General features: G+C 41.0%; 2 protein-coding genes across 14 annotated transcripts in view; one reads left to right on the plus strand and one right to left on the minus strand.

Moving 5' to 3' along the window:
- Positions 1-16,404, plus strand: part of MFSD6 (major facilitator superfamily domain containing 6) — a 94,739-nt gene that overhangs the window by 42,738 nt on the left and 35,597 nt on the right. The window lies entirely within an intron of this gene.
- NEMP2 (nuclear envelope integral membrane protein 2) overlaps positions 1-16,404 on the minus strand; it is a 227,365-nt gene that overhangs the window by 28,893 nt on the left and 182,068 nt on the right. For 2 of the 4 annotated variants that reach the window (XM_017003100.2, XM_011510458.4), the window contains exon 9: positions 3,779-5,258. The exons of 1 other annotated variant lie outside the window; for it this stretch is intronic. In XM_017003100.2, the coding sequence (XP_016858589.1) occupies positions 5,255-5,258 (4 nt within the window). In that variant the 3' untranslated portion in view covers positions 3,779-5,254. Of the gene's footprint in view, positions 1-3,778; positions 5,259-8,412; positions 12,452-16,404 lie in introns of those variants that run through there. One more of the 4 variants, XR_007068185.1, reaches the window with a different exon arrangement.

Raw genomic sequence — 16,404 nt, forward strand, 5'->3', positions numbered from 1 at the left:
GAAGCTTACTTCATAGCATACCTCTCCAAAGCCTTTCCAACTTGAAGAAGTAACAATTCCATTCTTATTTCTGAAATACTGAGCAATTCTTACCTTTTTTTCTGCTGAAAACATCTTTAAATAGTAGTCTATAGACAAACAGTAACTTGCTAACTTTTTCTTTTTCTCTTTTTCCTTTTTTTTTTTTTTTTTTTTTGAGACAGGGGTCTCACTCTGTCTCCCAGGCTGGAATGCAGTGATGCAATCTCAGCTCACTGCAGCCTCAACACCTTGGGCTCAGATGATACCCCCACCCCAGCCTCCCAAGTAGCACAGACTACAGGCATGTGCCACCATGCCCAGCTAAGTTTTGTATTTTTTGTAGAGACGAGGTTTTGTCATGTTGGCCAGGCTAGTCTTAAACTCCTAAGCTCAAGTGATCTGCCCACCTCAGCCTCCGAAAGTGCTGGGTTTATAGGCAATGAGCCATTGTGCCCAGCCACTGAGTTTTTCTTTCCTTTAAAAAGTTAACATATAGATTGAAGCTCTGACATTATTGAAAAGAAGAATAAACTTTCGGTTACATTTGTCCAGGTGTACTATACCTTTGGACCATCTCCTGCGCATTGTGGTTGCTGAGTACAGTGAGGAATCCTCAGTGATGCAGTGTTGGCCAGTGGTCCTTGGTTATAACCATTGGCCAAGCATTTCATTCCATTGAGGAGAATGAGAAGAGAGCAAGTTGGTCTAGGCTTGACTCCAGTCATCATCCTAAGCCCTGGTAGGATCGTTGAGTAGTGTAGTAGTTACCCTGTTTTCTTTTTTCCTTCTTTTTGCCAATTTGCCTATAAAAAGTGTATGTGTGTGTATATGTACATGTGTGCATTTGATCTAGATTCAAATCCCACACTTAGTCCTGTCTAACATTGGATAAGTCAGTAATTTTAGCTTTGTTAAGCCTCAGGTTCCTCATTGGTAAAACGGGGCAATAATTATACCTAACTTCATAGCATTGTCCTTAAGATTAAATGAGATAATGCTAGCAAGCACATAATAAGTCCTCAACTATGAACAGTAGGTAGTATTGTTACTAATTCATTCCTCCAACAAGTATTTATTAAACACACTGGGTGACAGGCACTGTGCTATAATCTAGGGATATATGGAATCTGTAATAAGAAAGATAAAGGTCAGTCCTCGTGGGACTCACATTCTACTGGGGCAGACAGTGAACAGTAAGTAGATGATTTTACTTCTGATAATGATGGGTGATTTAGGGCAAAAGTAAGACAGAGTGAAGGGTCCTAAGAGTGACTGAGGAGAAGCAATTGTTTCAGCTCGGTTAGGCTGGGAGACTTTCCCTGAGGAAGTGGCATTTGAGCAGAGTCCTGAATGGAAGCCCCCAGTGAAGATCTTGGGGACAGAGAAAACCACACATGTGAATGGCCAGGGAGAGGGTAATAAAAGGACACCAGTGCACTGGACAAGGATCCTGGGAAGCTTGAGCATCATACTAAGAATTGGAATGTTTTTCTAAGAGAAGCTGAGTTTTAGCAGGAGGTGATATAACTGATTTCTGCTTTTATGTTTTTTGAAGGCAATTGCTTGGGCAGAGGATTTCTTATTATTATTTATCTCACCCTACTTTACAAAGGTCCATTTTTCTTCATTCTCTGAGTTTTAGAGAAATTACAAGCTGTGCTGTTTTTTTGAGTCATCAGCTGATGATTCATGTACTATCTTTGCTGATTTAGTGATTTCTACCAATCCAGATGAAAGTTTTTTGTTTTTTTTTTCAGCAACTTCAAAAATATCAGAATAGGTAAATAATCTAGATGAAAAGTAAAAAACAAAAATAAGTTTAAAAATCTCCAATCGCTTGAACCTGGGAAGTGGACGTTGCAGTGAGCCGAGATTGCGCCACTGCACTCCAGCCTGAGAGACAGAGCCAGACTCCATCTCAAAAACAACAACAATAACACAACAACAACAACAATAACAAAACTCTAATCTTAACAAAAATTATAATTATGGGATAATATTTTAAAAATAGTAATTATACTACCATTTGATTGCTTATTACATATAAAAGTTACAAAAGCATCGTGCTAAATGCTTTTCCTATAAGCCCTATTTAATCTTTTTAACAGTCTTGTGAGTTAGGCATTGTTATGTCCATTTTAGAGATGAGAATTGTAGAGTGATTAAGTTTCCCATGATGACACAGCCAGTAAATAATGAACATAGGATTTAAACCCCAAAGTCATGTTCTCAGCTGCTACCTTATAGCTTCATAGGCACAGGGTTAGATTAGCAACTGTTTTGTTCCTTTATGCAACCCAGTCTCACCTCTTAGTCTTCCTCATTTCTGCTTTGAATGACTAATGCCTGGTATCACTTTTTCAATGGTTTCAACCACCCTCCTATGTCTCTTCCTGGTGAGATCTCCATCCCTGTAAAGTGCCCCCACGTCCCCAAATTATTCCTTTTATCCTGAGTGAAACTCTTATTCCTTCAGGGTTAGCTCCTCTTAGCAGTGTTAGGATGAGAGTAATGTGATTAAACTAACTTGTACTGAATATAAGTGGCAAAAACTAATGTTTCTAATGATGACCACGTATCATTTAGGAAGAATTAATTCACAATTAAATATTGTGCTCATTCAATATTTCTTTAAAGGAGACTTTATTAAATGATCAGTGATTGTTCTAGGGTTGCAGTGTTGAATATGACAGACATATTCCTGTGTCATGGAGCTCATGTTCTGTTGGAGGTGGAAGACAGTAAAACAGAAAAGAAAAATGTCAGATGCTACAGAAATGTTAGGTTTGGTGCCTATGACATTGGGAGTGGATATAAAATGAATAAAAGCCAGAGTTCTTCTGAGCAGGACCTTGCATAGCTGGAATGAAGGAGAGGAGTTATATTACAGATTAGGTACCAGATGAGTACTGGTGCCACTCACCAAGGAGAAGAACCCAGGAAGAGAGGTGTGGGCTCTGGGTAGGGGAAGAGGATCCTGGAGTTTGGAACTTGTGGAATTTCTATGAGATGGGGAGGATGCCCATTGGAAAGTTGCATTGATAAGCCCAGATTTAGAGAAAGGATGAAGTTGGAGATGTCTTTCAGAAACATTGGCATGTAGAGAACAGCTCCATCTTCCTCCTCTCTATTCCCCTTTCTTATTTTCACCTGGTCAATCCATTTTGGGAACTCTTCATCAAAGAAGGAACATGCCGTTATCAGTGTTACTTCTGGAAGCAGTGCCATAGAGCAGGACTGTTGGGAAGAGACAAATTCAGTGCTTCTAACGTGGGCATAAAAATTACATCCTAATGTCAGAACCTGAAGTGTTGGATGAAGATATCACTGATATTCTTTTAATGTTACTCACTGAAAACTCAAGGGCTTTTATCCTAGACCCTCCATTTTCCCTTTGGGCATTTCTGTGGGACTGGAGAAGCACAGAACGGAAGAGAATATGTTGCCCCAAATAGCCTAATGACTTAGGTGTCACTGTCTGTGCCTTGGGCTTATCTGGTAAGTGCAATGTAAACTGAGAAAGAAAACAAGACTTGACCAGCAAACAAATCAATTATTATCATACATGTCAGAGAGTGGCATTGTTCTATATTGCCTTACCTCAGAAATGCTACTGGTAACTGGAATATATTTCACAGAGAAGATTCTTGTATCTTTTATAGGGAAAATGTTTATGTTCAATTTCCTAATTAGACTAAATCAGTCCTTGTTTTAGTTTCCTGACCACCAGTAAAATTATTGTAGGCCTCGCAATTTATAGTTTTAACAAATATTTTTATTGTTACAGTAATCTTAGAAAACAGTTGTTTTATTACATCCATTTTACAATGGCTTAATGAGAGCCTGATACCCTCCATTGGTGGAAATATCAAATTAACTCCTTGTGGTCCTGGGATAGAGTACCTGAGAGCCTGCAGCCACGGTTCATGGAGCCCCTGGGGAGGTTTCCAATTGTGTTAGAGAGTGAAGGTATTAAAGATAGAGATAAGAAGCATTTTTCTATGGACTGAATGGTGTCCCCCACCTCCTTTATATATTCAAGTCCTGACCCCCAATGTGATGCTATTTAGAGATGGGATCTTTGGGAGGTAATGAAGTTTAGAGGTCATGAGAGTGGGGCCCTCATAATGGGGTTAGTGCCCTTACAAGAATACATGCTAGAGAGCTTGCTTGTGTACGACTCTTTTTCTCTTTCTTTACCCTTCCCTCTTCCCCTCTGCCGCCCTCCCTCTACCATATGAGGACACTGTAAGAAGGTGGTCATCTACAAGCCAGGAAGAGACCCCTCACCAGAACCCAGACATGCTGGTATCCTATTCTCAGATTTCCAGCTCCAGAACTATAAGAAATAAATGTCTATTGCTTAACCCACCAGTTTATGGCATATTGTCATGGCAGCCCGAGCAAATTAATAATGTGTCTAAATAGAGTAAGGAGAGCCTGAGGCAGGTATAGAGGGATGGGATCCCCAAAGATTCTAAGAGTCAGAAGACACTAGAATAGGGACCTATGGCCTAACATAGTGGGATGATGGTAGGAGTGAGTCCGGCAACGGCAAACTTGTATTTTTCTGTATGTATATGTGTTCCTGGTTTCTGTATGTATATGTATATGTATATGTATATGTATATGTATATGTATATGTATATGTATATGTATATGTATAATGTATATGTATATGTATATGTGTGTTGGTAAGCAGATCCACCATGCAAGCCTGGAAAGGAACAGATTTGCTTTTTGCCCAAAGTCCCTTCTGAGTGGTGGAGTTGGAGACTTTAGCCCAGGTTGTCTAGTTTATAATCCCATGCTCTTTTGTATACATTAGACACTAATATTGGTATCATCAAAATAGAGACTAGTATCATTGCTATTTTATTGCTATTTATTAAGTTACTATTAATTACTATGACTTTCATTATTACTATTAAGTTATTCATAGCTCTATTAATTAAATTTTATTAGAAATCTAACGTTTTAAGTATAGGTATAATATTACAACATCTTTGTGAAACAAGATTTTAAGGTTAAGTGATCACTACTTTTTGTGTGTATGAAAGAAAGCACCTTCTAAATTTCCCTGAAAGGTTTCTGATCCAGCTGGGGGAGGCTCTGCTGGCCATGGGAAGGGCACAGGATTTGACAGCAGAAGACCTGGTTGAGTCTTGCTTCTGCAGTTTGTTGATCTGCACGACCCTGGCAACTTGGTGAACCTTTCAGGGCCTTGGTTTCATCAGCTGTAAAAGAGGATTAATAACAACGCTTATCCTTCCTGTTTCAGAAGATTATGGGCAGAAATACATGAGATATGAAGTGGAAAAAAATGCTTAAAAATTGGAGAACATTATAGAATTGTTAGTATGGAGGGTGGGCACGGTGCAGGGGCATCGTGCGGAGGTCTCAGAGATTGCTGGAACTGATGCCCTTCCTTTTTTTTTTGTGATTCCTGTCACAAAAGAAAGGACATGAGTGGTTGGAAAAAACTATATCAGTTACAGTTCCTCATTTAAAAACAGAATAGAGCAAAATTTCTAGCCATAAAAGTTCAAGTTGACAGGTTTGAGGTAGGAAGGAGTCTACTGTAATTGTATTTACTCTGCTTTTTTTTTTTTTTTTTTTTTTTTGAGACTGAGTCTCATTCTGTCACCCAGGCTGAAGTGCAGCGGCATGATCTCGGCTCACTGCAACCTCTGCCTCCTGGGTTCAAGCAGTTCTCCTGTGTCAGCCTCTCTTGTAGCTGGGATTACAGGCATGCATCACCATGCCCAGCTAATTTTTATATTTTTAGTAGAGATGGGGTTTCACCATGTTGGTCAGGCTGGTCTCAAACTCCTGACCTCAGGTGATCTACCCGCCTCAGCCTCCCAAAGTGCTAGGATTACAGGTGTGAGCCACCATGCCTGGCCTGCTCTACTTTTTTCCTTACTTGAAAAATCCATGACTTAAATTTCACTTCAGACAGAGAAGGTGTTTAGCATGGTGAGTGGGAACTGCATTGACTTCAGTCTGAGTGCTAGTGAATGTTCAGGAATGACAGAGAGGGAGATGACCCTAAAGCCAGTGATGCCTCTGGCCTGGCTCAGACTCTTCGTTGTGAGATCTGTGGAGCCGCATCAGGAATTGAGGAATGGAAAAGATCGGGGCTCCTTTCAACCCGCTGGTGATATGAGCCCCACTCCGGGAACTCCCTGGCTGCTCTAGGAACCTGCAGGGCTGATGGCATGGCCTAAGCCCAAGAGGGAGACTCTGGACAGCTCTGTCCCTGCCATTCTCTCTGTGGCCTGTTCACACCCCTCTCCTTTCACAATCCTGTGTATGGTGCCCCATCCCTGACAAGGCAAGCATCCACTTCTGATTATTTAAAGTCTGCCTGCTTGATACAGCTCATGTCCAGCTGCAGGTAAGAGGTGGAAACCTTGGCTCACCCCTCGTCCTGCCTCAGCATCGATACCTGCAGTTTCTGTGGCTACCTCAGCAGAAATGATCTTTCAGCGCATTTCTTCTCATAACACAGAATTTTGCTTCTGGGTAAGCTTTTCTCCTTTGATCTAGGATATTGGACAACTGTTGAGTGGCATTTGCTTTTCTACTTTCCTCTTACCCCAGTCTTCCCAATGACTCGTCAAAGTTTAAAATGTCAACCGTCTTCTGATGCCAACATAAACGTTCATCCAGCTTCCTTAATCCGCGCGCACAGCTGAGTTCAGAAGTCCAGAAGTCTATCTACACTAACACTGCTAGTCCGTTTCTTATGGTCCAATCCAGAGGTATTTCCTCAAGCCCTTGTCTAGGTTTGATTTCATGTAGGGAGCTTGGAGTGTGGAAAATAGCACATTGCTATTACCTACTGAAAGAGCATGGTCTGGCAGGGGGATGGGGACCTTGACTTCCACTGGCCAACCGACTTTGTGGCCCCGGTCCACCCCTGTGGCCCTCTCCTTCCTTGTCTCTGTGAAAAGAGCGAGCTGGATGCTATGGCTCCTTTCAGTTCTGACTCTAATGATCTAACTTTCTTCTTTGGCTGGTTTTAGTATGTGAAAAAAACCACCTAGCAGACCCCACTTCTTCCTGTTGGCCCCCTACCCCCAGGACTCAGACTTTGCGTGTTTTTTGCTGACAAGTCAAAAATGTGCACAAAGCCATTCAAACAGACCATCTAGCCAGTGATAGGGGATGTGTTTTATGATAGCAGTTGCTGGGATCTACATAGAGAATTTTATTTCCTTGAAGCCAATTGACCTGAATGGAAGTTAGGACCCCAAATCTCAGACACTTCTGCATGTACTGGCTCAGGCAGAATTTGTAAAAGATGTGGCTGTTATTGCTGAAATATTTGCATTTAATTTAATGGTAGCTTACATATTTGCACAGTGTTTTGCAGTTTTTCTTTACATGCTTGTTTAATCTTTTCAAAACTCTAGTATAACCAAAGCAGTTATGACCACTCCTGAGAAAGTCCACCTCAACTATGCATGTGCCCTGGATGCCACCACCTTGGCCAGCGTGCAGCATATGCCCCGCCATGCTGCCCATTTTAAAACCAGATTAATTAGCACTGTTTGTAAAAGGTTTTCATTTGACCTCAACCACTGGAAAAGCAAATAGCAATTCATGAAATAAAGTAAATGAGTAAATATGGTCAGATTAGGTTGTACAAAATGCGAAGAGTCCTCCTCTAAGGATACAGCCTCACTCTGACTGTTGAGGCCCGAGGAAGCTGCCAGCGGTGTCACACACTCTGTTGCTGGTCTAGGGAGGAAATGGCTCTGGAAAAAAATACTGGCATTCTTTACTCAAGTTTGCTTGATGTTGGAGTTGTAAGTGACCTCGAAGGGCATTTTAATGGGCTGAATTGTGGCCCCTGAAGATTCATACGTTGAGGTCCTAACCCACAGTACCTCAGAGTGTGACCATATTTAAAGTTAGGGTCTTTAAGGATGTCATGAAATTAAAATCAGGTCATTAGGGTCAGCCCTCATCTGTTATGAGCAGTGTCCTCGTGAGAAGAGATTGGGGCCACAGATAGGCACAAGGGAAGATAGGCGATGACACAGGGAGAGGATGACTTGTCTGCAAGCCAACGAGAGGGGCCCTGGAGAAACCAACATTGCCAACACCTTGATTTTGGACTTTTGGCTCCCAGAACTGTGAGAAAATAAATTTCTGTTGTTGAAGCCACCCAGTCTGTGGTATTTGTTACAGCAGCCTTAGCAAACTAATACAGTCCTGTAGGCCTAGCTTCACCCCAGTTTTAGATTCCCTTCCCCCCGAGTGCTTGACAGATGGTTATTAGCCTTTGCTTGACCGTTTCTAGAGATATGGAACTTGCTGTCTCCAAAGGCAGTGGAGGTCACTTGAGACTCTTTCAGTGAAAGTGGCAAAAATCCTTACCCAGAGAAGCTTAAGTAAAATGGGGACTGTATTGTCCAATTGAGAAGTCCAGCAAATGACCAGAGGTGTAGCTTTAACCAGGTCTCAGATGACGCGATCAGAACCTGCATCTCTCCCTCTATTAGCTCTGTCTCCTTTTGGGCAGGCTTACTCATAAGGCCTGCGCCAGAGGTCCCAGGCAGCTCTAGGATCAAGTTCAGCTGAGAACAGAGAATCATGCTTAGTTTCTGCTTAGCAGAAGGTAAAACAAGAACATCTGTTGTACTGACTGCTCCCAAGTCTGACGTAGAGAGTGGGTCCATCCCCTCTTCAGTAGAAAAGCCCTTCCCATCCTTGAGTCTCACCTGCAGCTTTGCTTCTCCAACTCCCTAGGGGTTTCTCCCAGAACATCCTATCCAAGACTCCTTTTTTCCTCCCTCCATATTGTGGCTCCTTTCTCTTTTGTTTTCGTCAGTGATCTCTTAAGATGTGATGCCCTTAACTGTACCCATTCCTGCTGTGTCTCACCACAGTCAGGAACAGCAGGATTAGTATCTGCTTTTGATTTGGTCATGACATTGCTTCAACCTGAGTTTCGATGAACTTGTTCAGCTTCGTCAAATTTAGCTTAGGGTCAAGTAAAACTCTTGAGGCCTTTTTAAAATTAACGGCTATGCCAAATGTCAGTGATTCTTCTCAGGAAATTATAGTGTTTGTGTCATATGTATACCTTAAGCCATATCCTAGGAAATTTTTAAACAAAATTGTAGGGGGTGTGTGTGTGAATATGTTCAGTCATTTGACTAAACAGAAAAATATAACAACAAAACAGCATATTGTGTCTTCTAAGTGGTTGGGTTCCATTAATCAAGGTTCTCTTTTGTTTTAAACATCTCTAGTTTTCTACCTGGAGATACACACAACTTAAGAAAAAAACAGATAAACTAAAATAACAATGGAGAGATATAAACATGGTCACAGCACAGTGACCAGCACAGTGATCCTGCTGATGGTGACCATAGTTACACTCTTAGCTTATCAGTCATTTTAGAGGGAAGAATCTGAACACAACAAAATGATTTCCAGCTAGTAGAGACTCAGACCCAAATTACTTTTACCTTTTCTCTTTCTAGCAGAAACAATAGAAGGAAGTATTAGTAGCTGCAGAAAATATACACAGCTAAATATTATTTCTAATTCACTCTCTGACATACAATGTGATTCTTATGCTCTGTTCTACAAGGATGGGTCAGTGGCCAGTCATACCTGCTGGCTGATAGAAGCTTGGTGGCTCCCAGGATCTCCTTGGTGGTCCCTTCAGCTATGCTGTGGGACTACCACTGACTCTGAGCTTTGTGGCTTATATCCTAGCTCTTACTCTTCTGGTGAGATAGGCTTGTGGTGAGCAGAACCCTGTTATCTGCTCAGAGCATGTGCTGAAGTTCCATTGCACAGTGCGTCAGGATGCTCCAAATAAACAAACTGTAATCAGCTACTCATTGAGCTATTTATTGTTTGTCCACATAAATAAAAATATTTATTTTCAACCATAGCCTATTAATGTTAGTCAAAAATGTTGCAGAATATAGACATCTATTTTTTAAATATATTTCTAGGCCTCTTTTTTAAGTCCATTCATTCTTTCACATACCCATCACTTATTCCTATACCATAATCAGATATCTTAATCATACATACACTCGCGTATGCACACATGTATAATATGTGCATAGTGTATATCCCTAGCACTTAGCATAGAGTATGTTCAATAAGTATTTGTTAATTGATATTCTATTTGAAGTATTCATATTTTCTCTTCCGTTCCGGACTATTTACTGAGTGCCTGGTATGTGTCAAGCATTGGGGATAAAAATGAGCCAGCATAATATGAAAGTCCTCACCCTGCATGCAGAATGCAGTCAGGTTGTAGGTGCACTGTTACAACCAAGATAAGTGTTGTGAGGAGAGGCACGTGATGCTGCAATCACATATTAAAGGGAATGGACCAGGCATGAGATGGAGCTGGGTGAGAGCTGAAGAATATCAAGACACAGAGACAGGTGGGGATGGTGGCCGAGTGAGTCCATTTGTCATCCCTGCGAGTGGGAGGACTGAGAGCTAGGCAGTGTTGTGCCAGACAAGGTGACAAGGAAAGATGTTTTATAATAGAATCTTCTTCATATCAGCAATTTTGATGCAGATGTTCCTACTGTGTTACGTAGACTTTCTGATGATCCATGCAGCTCTTGAAGCAAACAAGCACTCTTGTTAAGTCTGACACAGAACACCATTTCTTTGTCCAGGAAGAAAATGATTATGGCAACACTATTTCCTATGTCTTTCTTAACTCTTTGGACAACTAGATGGTTTACCCACACCCAATCTCCCAAGAGTTTCAAAAGAAAGGAATAATTTAAATATGAACTTAGCTAGAATGTTGTATGGTTTTGAAGCCAAAATAGAAACCCAGACAGTGATCCCTTCAGGTTGAGAACCATGGGTCAGACATCACACATCATTTAATGGGTCTGTTTCTACTGCATGAAACACAGTGACTTGATGTCTGTTCATTCTTTGAGAAAGTAGACATGCACTTGGAAAAACATTCAAAAGGTATTTAGTAAAGTCTCTCTCCCACCCCTTGGGCAGTCCCCCAATTCCTCTCCTTAGAGACTATCCATTATATGAGGTTCTAGTGTTGTATCCTTTTAGAGATATTCTGTTCATATGTAAGTATGTAGCTGTATGTGTCACTTCCTTTTTCTGACATAAATATTACAATACTATACTTAATATTCTGCAATGTCTTTTACCTTGCTTTAAATGCCAAACAGTTCTGGAGGCTGGGAAGTGCAAGATCAAAGTGTTGGCAGGTTCGGTGACTGGTAAAGGCCTCGTTCTCTGCCTCCCAGATAGCACCTTGAATGCTGTGTTCTCTCATGGCAGAAGGCAGAAGGGCAAAAGGGGGAAACAGCTCCCTCACACCTCTTTTACCCACTCATGAGGGCTCCACTCTCATGACTTAATCACCTCCTTCATACTATCATCACATTGGTGAATTAGTTTCAACATATGAATTTTGGAGGGTATACAGACATTTAAACTGTAGTATCTACAATCTATGATTTCTACCAGTTTTAATTTTTTTTTTAGTGTGGAACATGAACCTTAATATACTTTCAGAACAATCTGAGAGCAGAAGTCTTTTAATTTAAAAATTTAAAGGTTGCCTTTCCCATGCCTAATTTGACAGTACTTTTTTCCCTACCACTTAAATCTTTATTATTATGTGATTATTAGGAAGTACATAACTCACTATACGAACTCAAAATCTACAGAAATATACTCCTTAGGCGATGAAGGGCCCTATCATCGCAGATTTCCAGGATAATCATTGTTCGTGATTTGCTGTCTGTCTCCTTCTTGGTTTGTTTTTGTATTAATATAATGTGAATATGGATATGAATTGATTCCATATTGAGTACACATACAGACATTTTATGGAGAAATGGGAACAGAATAACCATTGTTTTAAGAGATTTACCTCATGGTTCTCAACAGGAGCCATTTAAAAATGTGCACAGGACAAATTTTAGTGTTTCAGACACTGGCATTTAGCACCCAAGCGTCAGGGATTTTAAACATCCCACAGTGAATGGTGGATCCCACACAATAAAGAATTGCACCATCCAAAATGACAGTAGCTTGTTGAGAAATACTGTTTTCATGAGAGTAATGCTTCCTTTTGCCCTCATATTTTATCAGTTTACATAAGATTATATTAAATGATGTTATGGATTCATGGAGTGCCTGAGCAAGGCAGGCTCTTTTTGAGTACAAAGAGGAAGAAGACATGGCCGTTGTCTCCCAGGGTCTCAGTCTTCAGTGTGCAACAGACTGTGATGAGTCCTCTAATGGAAACAAAGAGTGTAGCAGAGGAACAGCGGGGGACAGGAGGACTAATTATACCTGGAGACATCTTGGGAGGCTTCTTGGAAGGGATGATTCCTTTCAACAGTGGGACTCTCAAAATCAGAGGTACCAGTGCCCCAAGTCATATCTTGGAAAAAGGGAGAGAGATACTGTCAGCCCTGCTACTTCTAGATAAGCACTTGGTCTGAACATGAGCTGTAGCAGCTCCTGCCTGTTGCTCAGGTCACTGATTCTGTGGCCTTGTCTCCTCTCCTCTCTGGCCACTCTTACCACCATTCTAGCACTAGAGGAGGGTACCATGATGTAACTCAGGCCACCTTCTTGGGATGGGAATCCCAAGGAATGCCAGCTGTGGTTCTTTCAAACCAGCCAGTCCTGGAGTGGGACACAGGATGCAGGAGATGCCATGGAGAGGACAAAAAAAGGGGAGAGAAGACAAGAGATTCCAGACAGTTACAGCAAAACCCTATTCTGCTAGTGAGGGACACAGAAATCCTGGCAAGATATCCACAGTAGCATATCATGGAAGATAGCTGGGAGGAGGGGGACAGTTATGAGAAAACAAATTTTCTAGACTAAGATTTAATTCTTTCAAGGCCTATCCTTTATATTTTAGTTATTTTCTAAAGAGTTTGGATATATATTTTCTTACTCTCTTAAACTGACAATAGAGAACATCATCTTATTCAGGTCAATAGTGTGAATCAGTGATTATGTAGAAATAAGCTTCATTCCTGGGGAGGAGGGCACATCAAGTGCTTGTGCTGAGCACAGGAGTCTCCACTCTAATCAGCAGCTGATGTCTGCCACTCTGCCTACTCTAGGAAGACATCTATAACAATTCTGAAAAAAAAATTTTTTTTAGGGACAAGTTTATATAGACCATAAAAGGATAATCTGGGGCCAGGTGGATGGCTCATGCCTATAATCCCAGCAACTTTGGGAGGCTGAGATAGGAGGATTGCTTGAGCCCAGGAGTTCATGACCAGCCTGGGCAACATAGTGAGACTTTGTGTCTACTAAAAATCAAAAGTTAGCTTGGCGTGATGGTGCACACCTGTAGTCCCAGCTACTTGGGGGGCTGAGGTGGGAGGATCACCTGGGCTCTGGTGGTCAAGGCTGCATTGAGCTGTGATGACGCTACTGCACTCCAGCCTGGGTAACAGAGCAAGACCCTGTCTCAAAAATAAATAAATAAATAAAATAAAAATAAAAAGCTGAGAATGATGGAGCCCAATCTAAGGGCGCACCATATACTGTCTACCATACAGAAAACGTAATCCAGTTTATATATGAGGCAGACTGTAGACTGTGCTCCAGGGATCTGGTGTCAACAACCAGCTCTTTTCATTAGGAAATCTAGTAAAAACTCCAGCCAGGTATAGCTGAGGAAATTGCCCAAGTGGTCTGTGACCTGTCTGAAACATTGCTTTTTGAATCTTGGTTTGTTGCTGGTCTGTCTTCATCTCCCACCCTGGCCTCGAGCAACCTTGTATGCATTGGTGTGCGTGCATCTTTGCGTGAGGGCTTGCAACACAAACTGTAGACAAGTGTCAGTCTAACGGCAAATACTGAACTTCCAAGTGATAAAAAACAATCTTCATCTGGGGTCTTTCATTTGTATCCAGTGTATTATTATAATTATTTTGGGAAGTTTTGTTTCTCTGCCAGGGGCTTTGCAAAATGCTTGTTGCCATCAGTCATTAGGTGAATAGGGGTTCTCTGGTGGTGCTGCTCTTTTGCGTCTCAGATCTGGGCATTGTAGAATAACTCCACTTAGGTCTTTCTTTGCTGCTCACACCCTGTGTTGTTTCTGGAATAATATCCAGACTGTATCTGGACTGGAAAAGTTCACTTCTTTCTTCAAAAATCCTTAGACTGTAATCCTTCTTGTGTCTTTCAGTCACCCTGTCTGGCCACAGATGCTTGAGATTCTATGGTGAACCCTTGTTCGCTTTGTTTCCTCTGCCTGTGATGCTCTTTCTGCCCTCTTTGGCCAACCACTTCTAACTCAGGTGGCCTCAACCCCCAGGGTTGGCTAAGGGTCTCTCCTGTGTGGTCCCATTGCACTCTTTGGATATCTCTTAGTATATTATATTTAACTTATTTGTTTATGTGTTTGTCTTCCCAACTAGGCTGTAAGTCCCTTGAAGACCAAGTAGATTTCCTCTTCATTTTTACTCCCCTCACAGTATATGGTAGATAGTGGCATCTTAATAAATGTTTATTGAGCAAAATTTATGTTCACTGTGGTTTTTAGTGGCTTTTGGTGGGGGTGGGGGAGGGTGGATTTAGCCATATTATAGTTGGTTAAATTTAGAAAAGTAGGGTCTCACAACTAACTACACTGTTAGGAATTACAGAATGACTCATAATTCATTGTATCTATATCTTGAACACTCTTGAAAAAAATACCAGTTTTATTATAAGATAACCACAAATCAGCTTAAACTGCTAATACTGTGAATTGTGCTTATATAAGAAATTAGAATCTGTAACAATTTTTTTCTCCTACTCTTGTAGTTTGCTCAAATACAGGATAAAAAACGAGTGGCAGGTGATTTGGGTTTTCCACAGGGTAGTGTTTTCTGCTGCATCATTTGCTTCTTATCAATTGTGTTCCTCTTTATAGATAACTTCAGTTTACCAACCACCTGTTCTAAAATTGCCTTTGTTTCTTGTCTATTTTTATTACTACTGACTTCCTGTTCTGAAATAGGACAGTCATGCTGTTTTTGAGTTTTATCATTATAGGTGTTCAGTAGGTATCTATATCTCGTGGAGAGACTTTTTTTTTCAGTGTCTTGTATTTCCAGACATCAGTGCCCATAAGATTACTGATTATACATCAGTAATCTTATGTATAATCTTATGTAAAAAAATTCTAGGACCCTGAACATATGCTCATATTCAGCATAAAAAAGAATTTGATTGTCTAGAAAATGATCCAGTAAAATATGCTTTAAATTCCTTTATATTAGCAAATCCCTAACTGTATTAGAGTGAATGTGTTCATTTGCTTGGGTTACCACAAAGTACCACGGTCTGGGTGGCTTAAAAAACAGAAGTTTATGGCCGGGCGTGGTGGCTCACGCCTATAATCCCAGCACTTTGGGAGGCCGAGGCAGGTGGATCACTTTAGGTTTGGAGTTCAAGACCAGCCTGGCCAACATAGTGAAACCCCATCTCTACTAAAAATACAAAAATTAGCCGGGCCTGGTAGCATGCACCTGTAATCTCAGCTACTTGGGAGGCTGAGGCAGAAGAATCGCTTGAATCCGGGAGGCGGTGGTTACAGCAAACCAAGATCATGCCATTGCAAAAAACAAACAAAAAAACTCGGAAGTTTATTTCTTCACAGTTCTGGAGGCAAAAAGTCCGAGATCAATTGTCCGTAGGGTTGGTTACTTCCAAGGGCCTCTCTCTTTGGCTTAGGTTTTCTTCCAGAGTTTTTATTTCTTCCCTTGTGCCTGCTTGTGTCCTAATCTCTTGGAAAAACACCAGTTATATTGGATTAGGACCTATCCATATGACATCATTTTACCTAATTACCTCTTCTAAGGCTATATTTCCAAATACAATCACATTTTGAGGTACTGGGGGTCAGAACTTAAGACTTCAGCACATGAACTGGGGGAACACATGGTTCAGTCATAACAGTGCATACTATGGCAGTTTAAATATCCTATTCTGATACTGAAGTACTTTTCAGTGACTATTCAGTAAATATACGTGTACTTCTTTGCCTTTTCATAGATCCAAATGCTGTCTTTCTTTCTGCTCACAATTTTACCCTTGCTGATTTCTTGAAGCCACTGGCTTCCTCAAAATGGTTGGTGAGGAAGGAATGCGAATGCTCTTGTCTTTTGGAATTCTGGGATAAAAGTTTTGTCAGAAACCAAAGAGTATTTACTTGGATACTTTTCCTTAAGATGATGATGATGATGATGAATCATTTATTGAGTGCTTATTTTGGGCAAGTCATTGTGTCGTCATTTTCACAACAAACCTACAGAATACATGTTTTTATCCCCACTTGATATATGAGGAAACTGAGGCTCAGAGAGATGAAATAACCTT

This window comes from Homo sapiens, chromosome 2 (genome assembly GCF_000001405.40).
Source record: "Homo sapiens chromosome 2, GRCh38.p14 Primary Assembly".
NCBI lineage: Eukaryota > Metazoa > Chordata > Mammalia > Primates > Hominidae > Homo > Homo sapiens.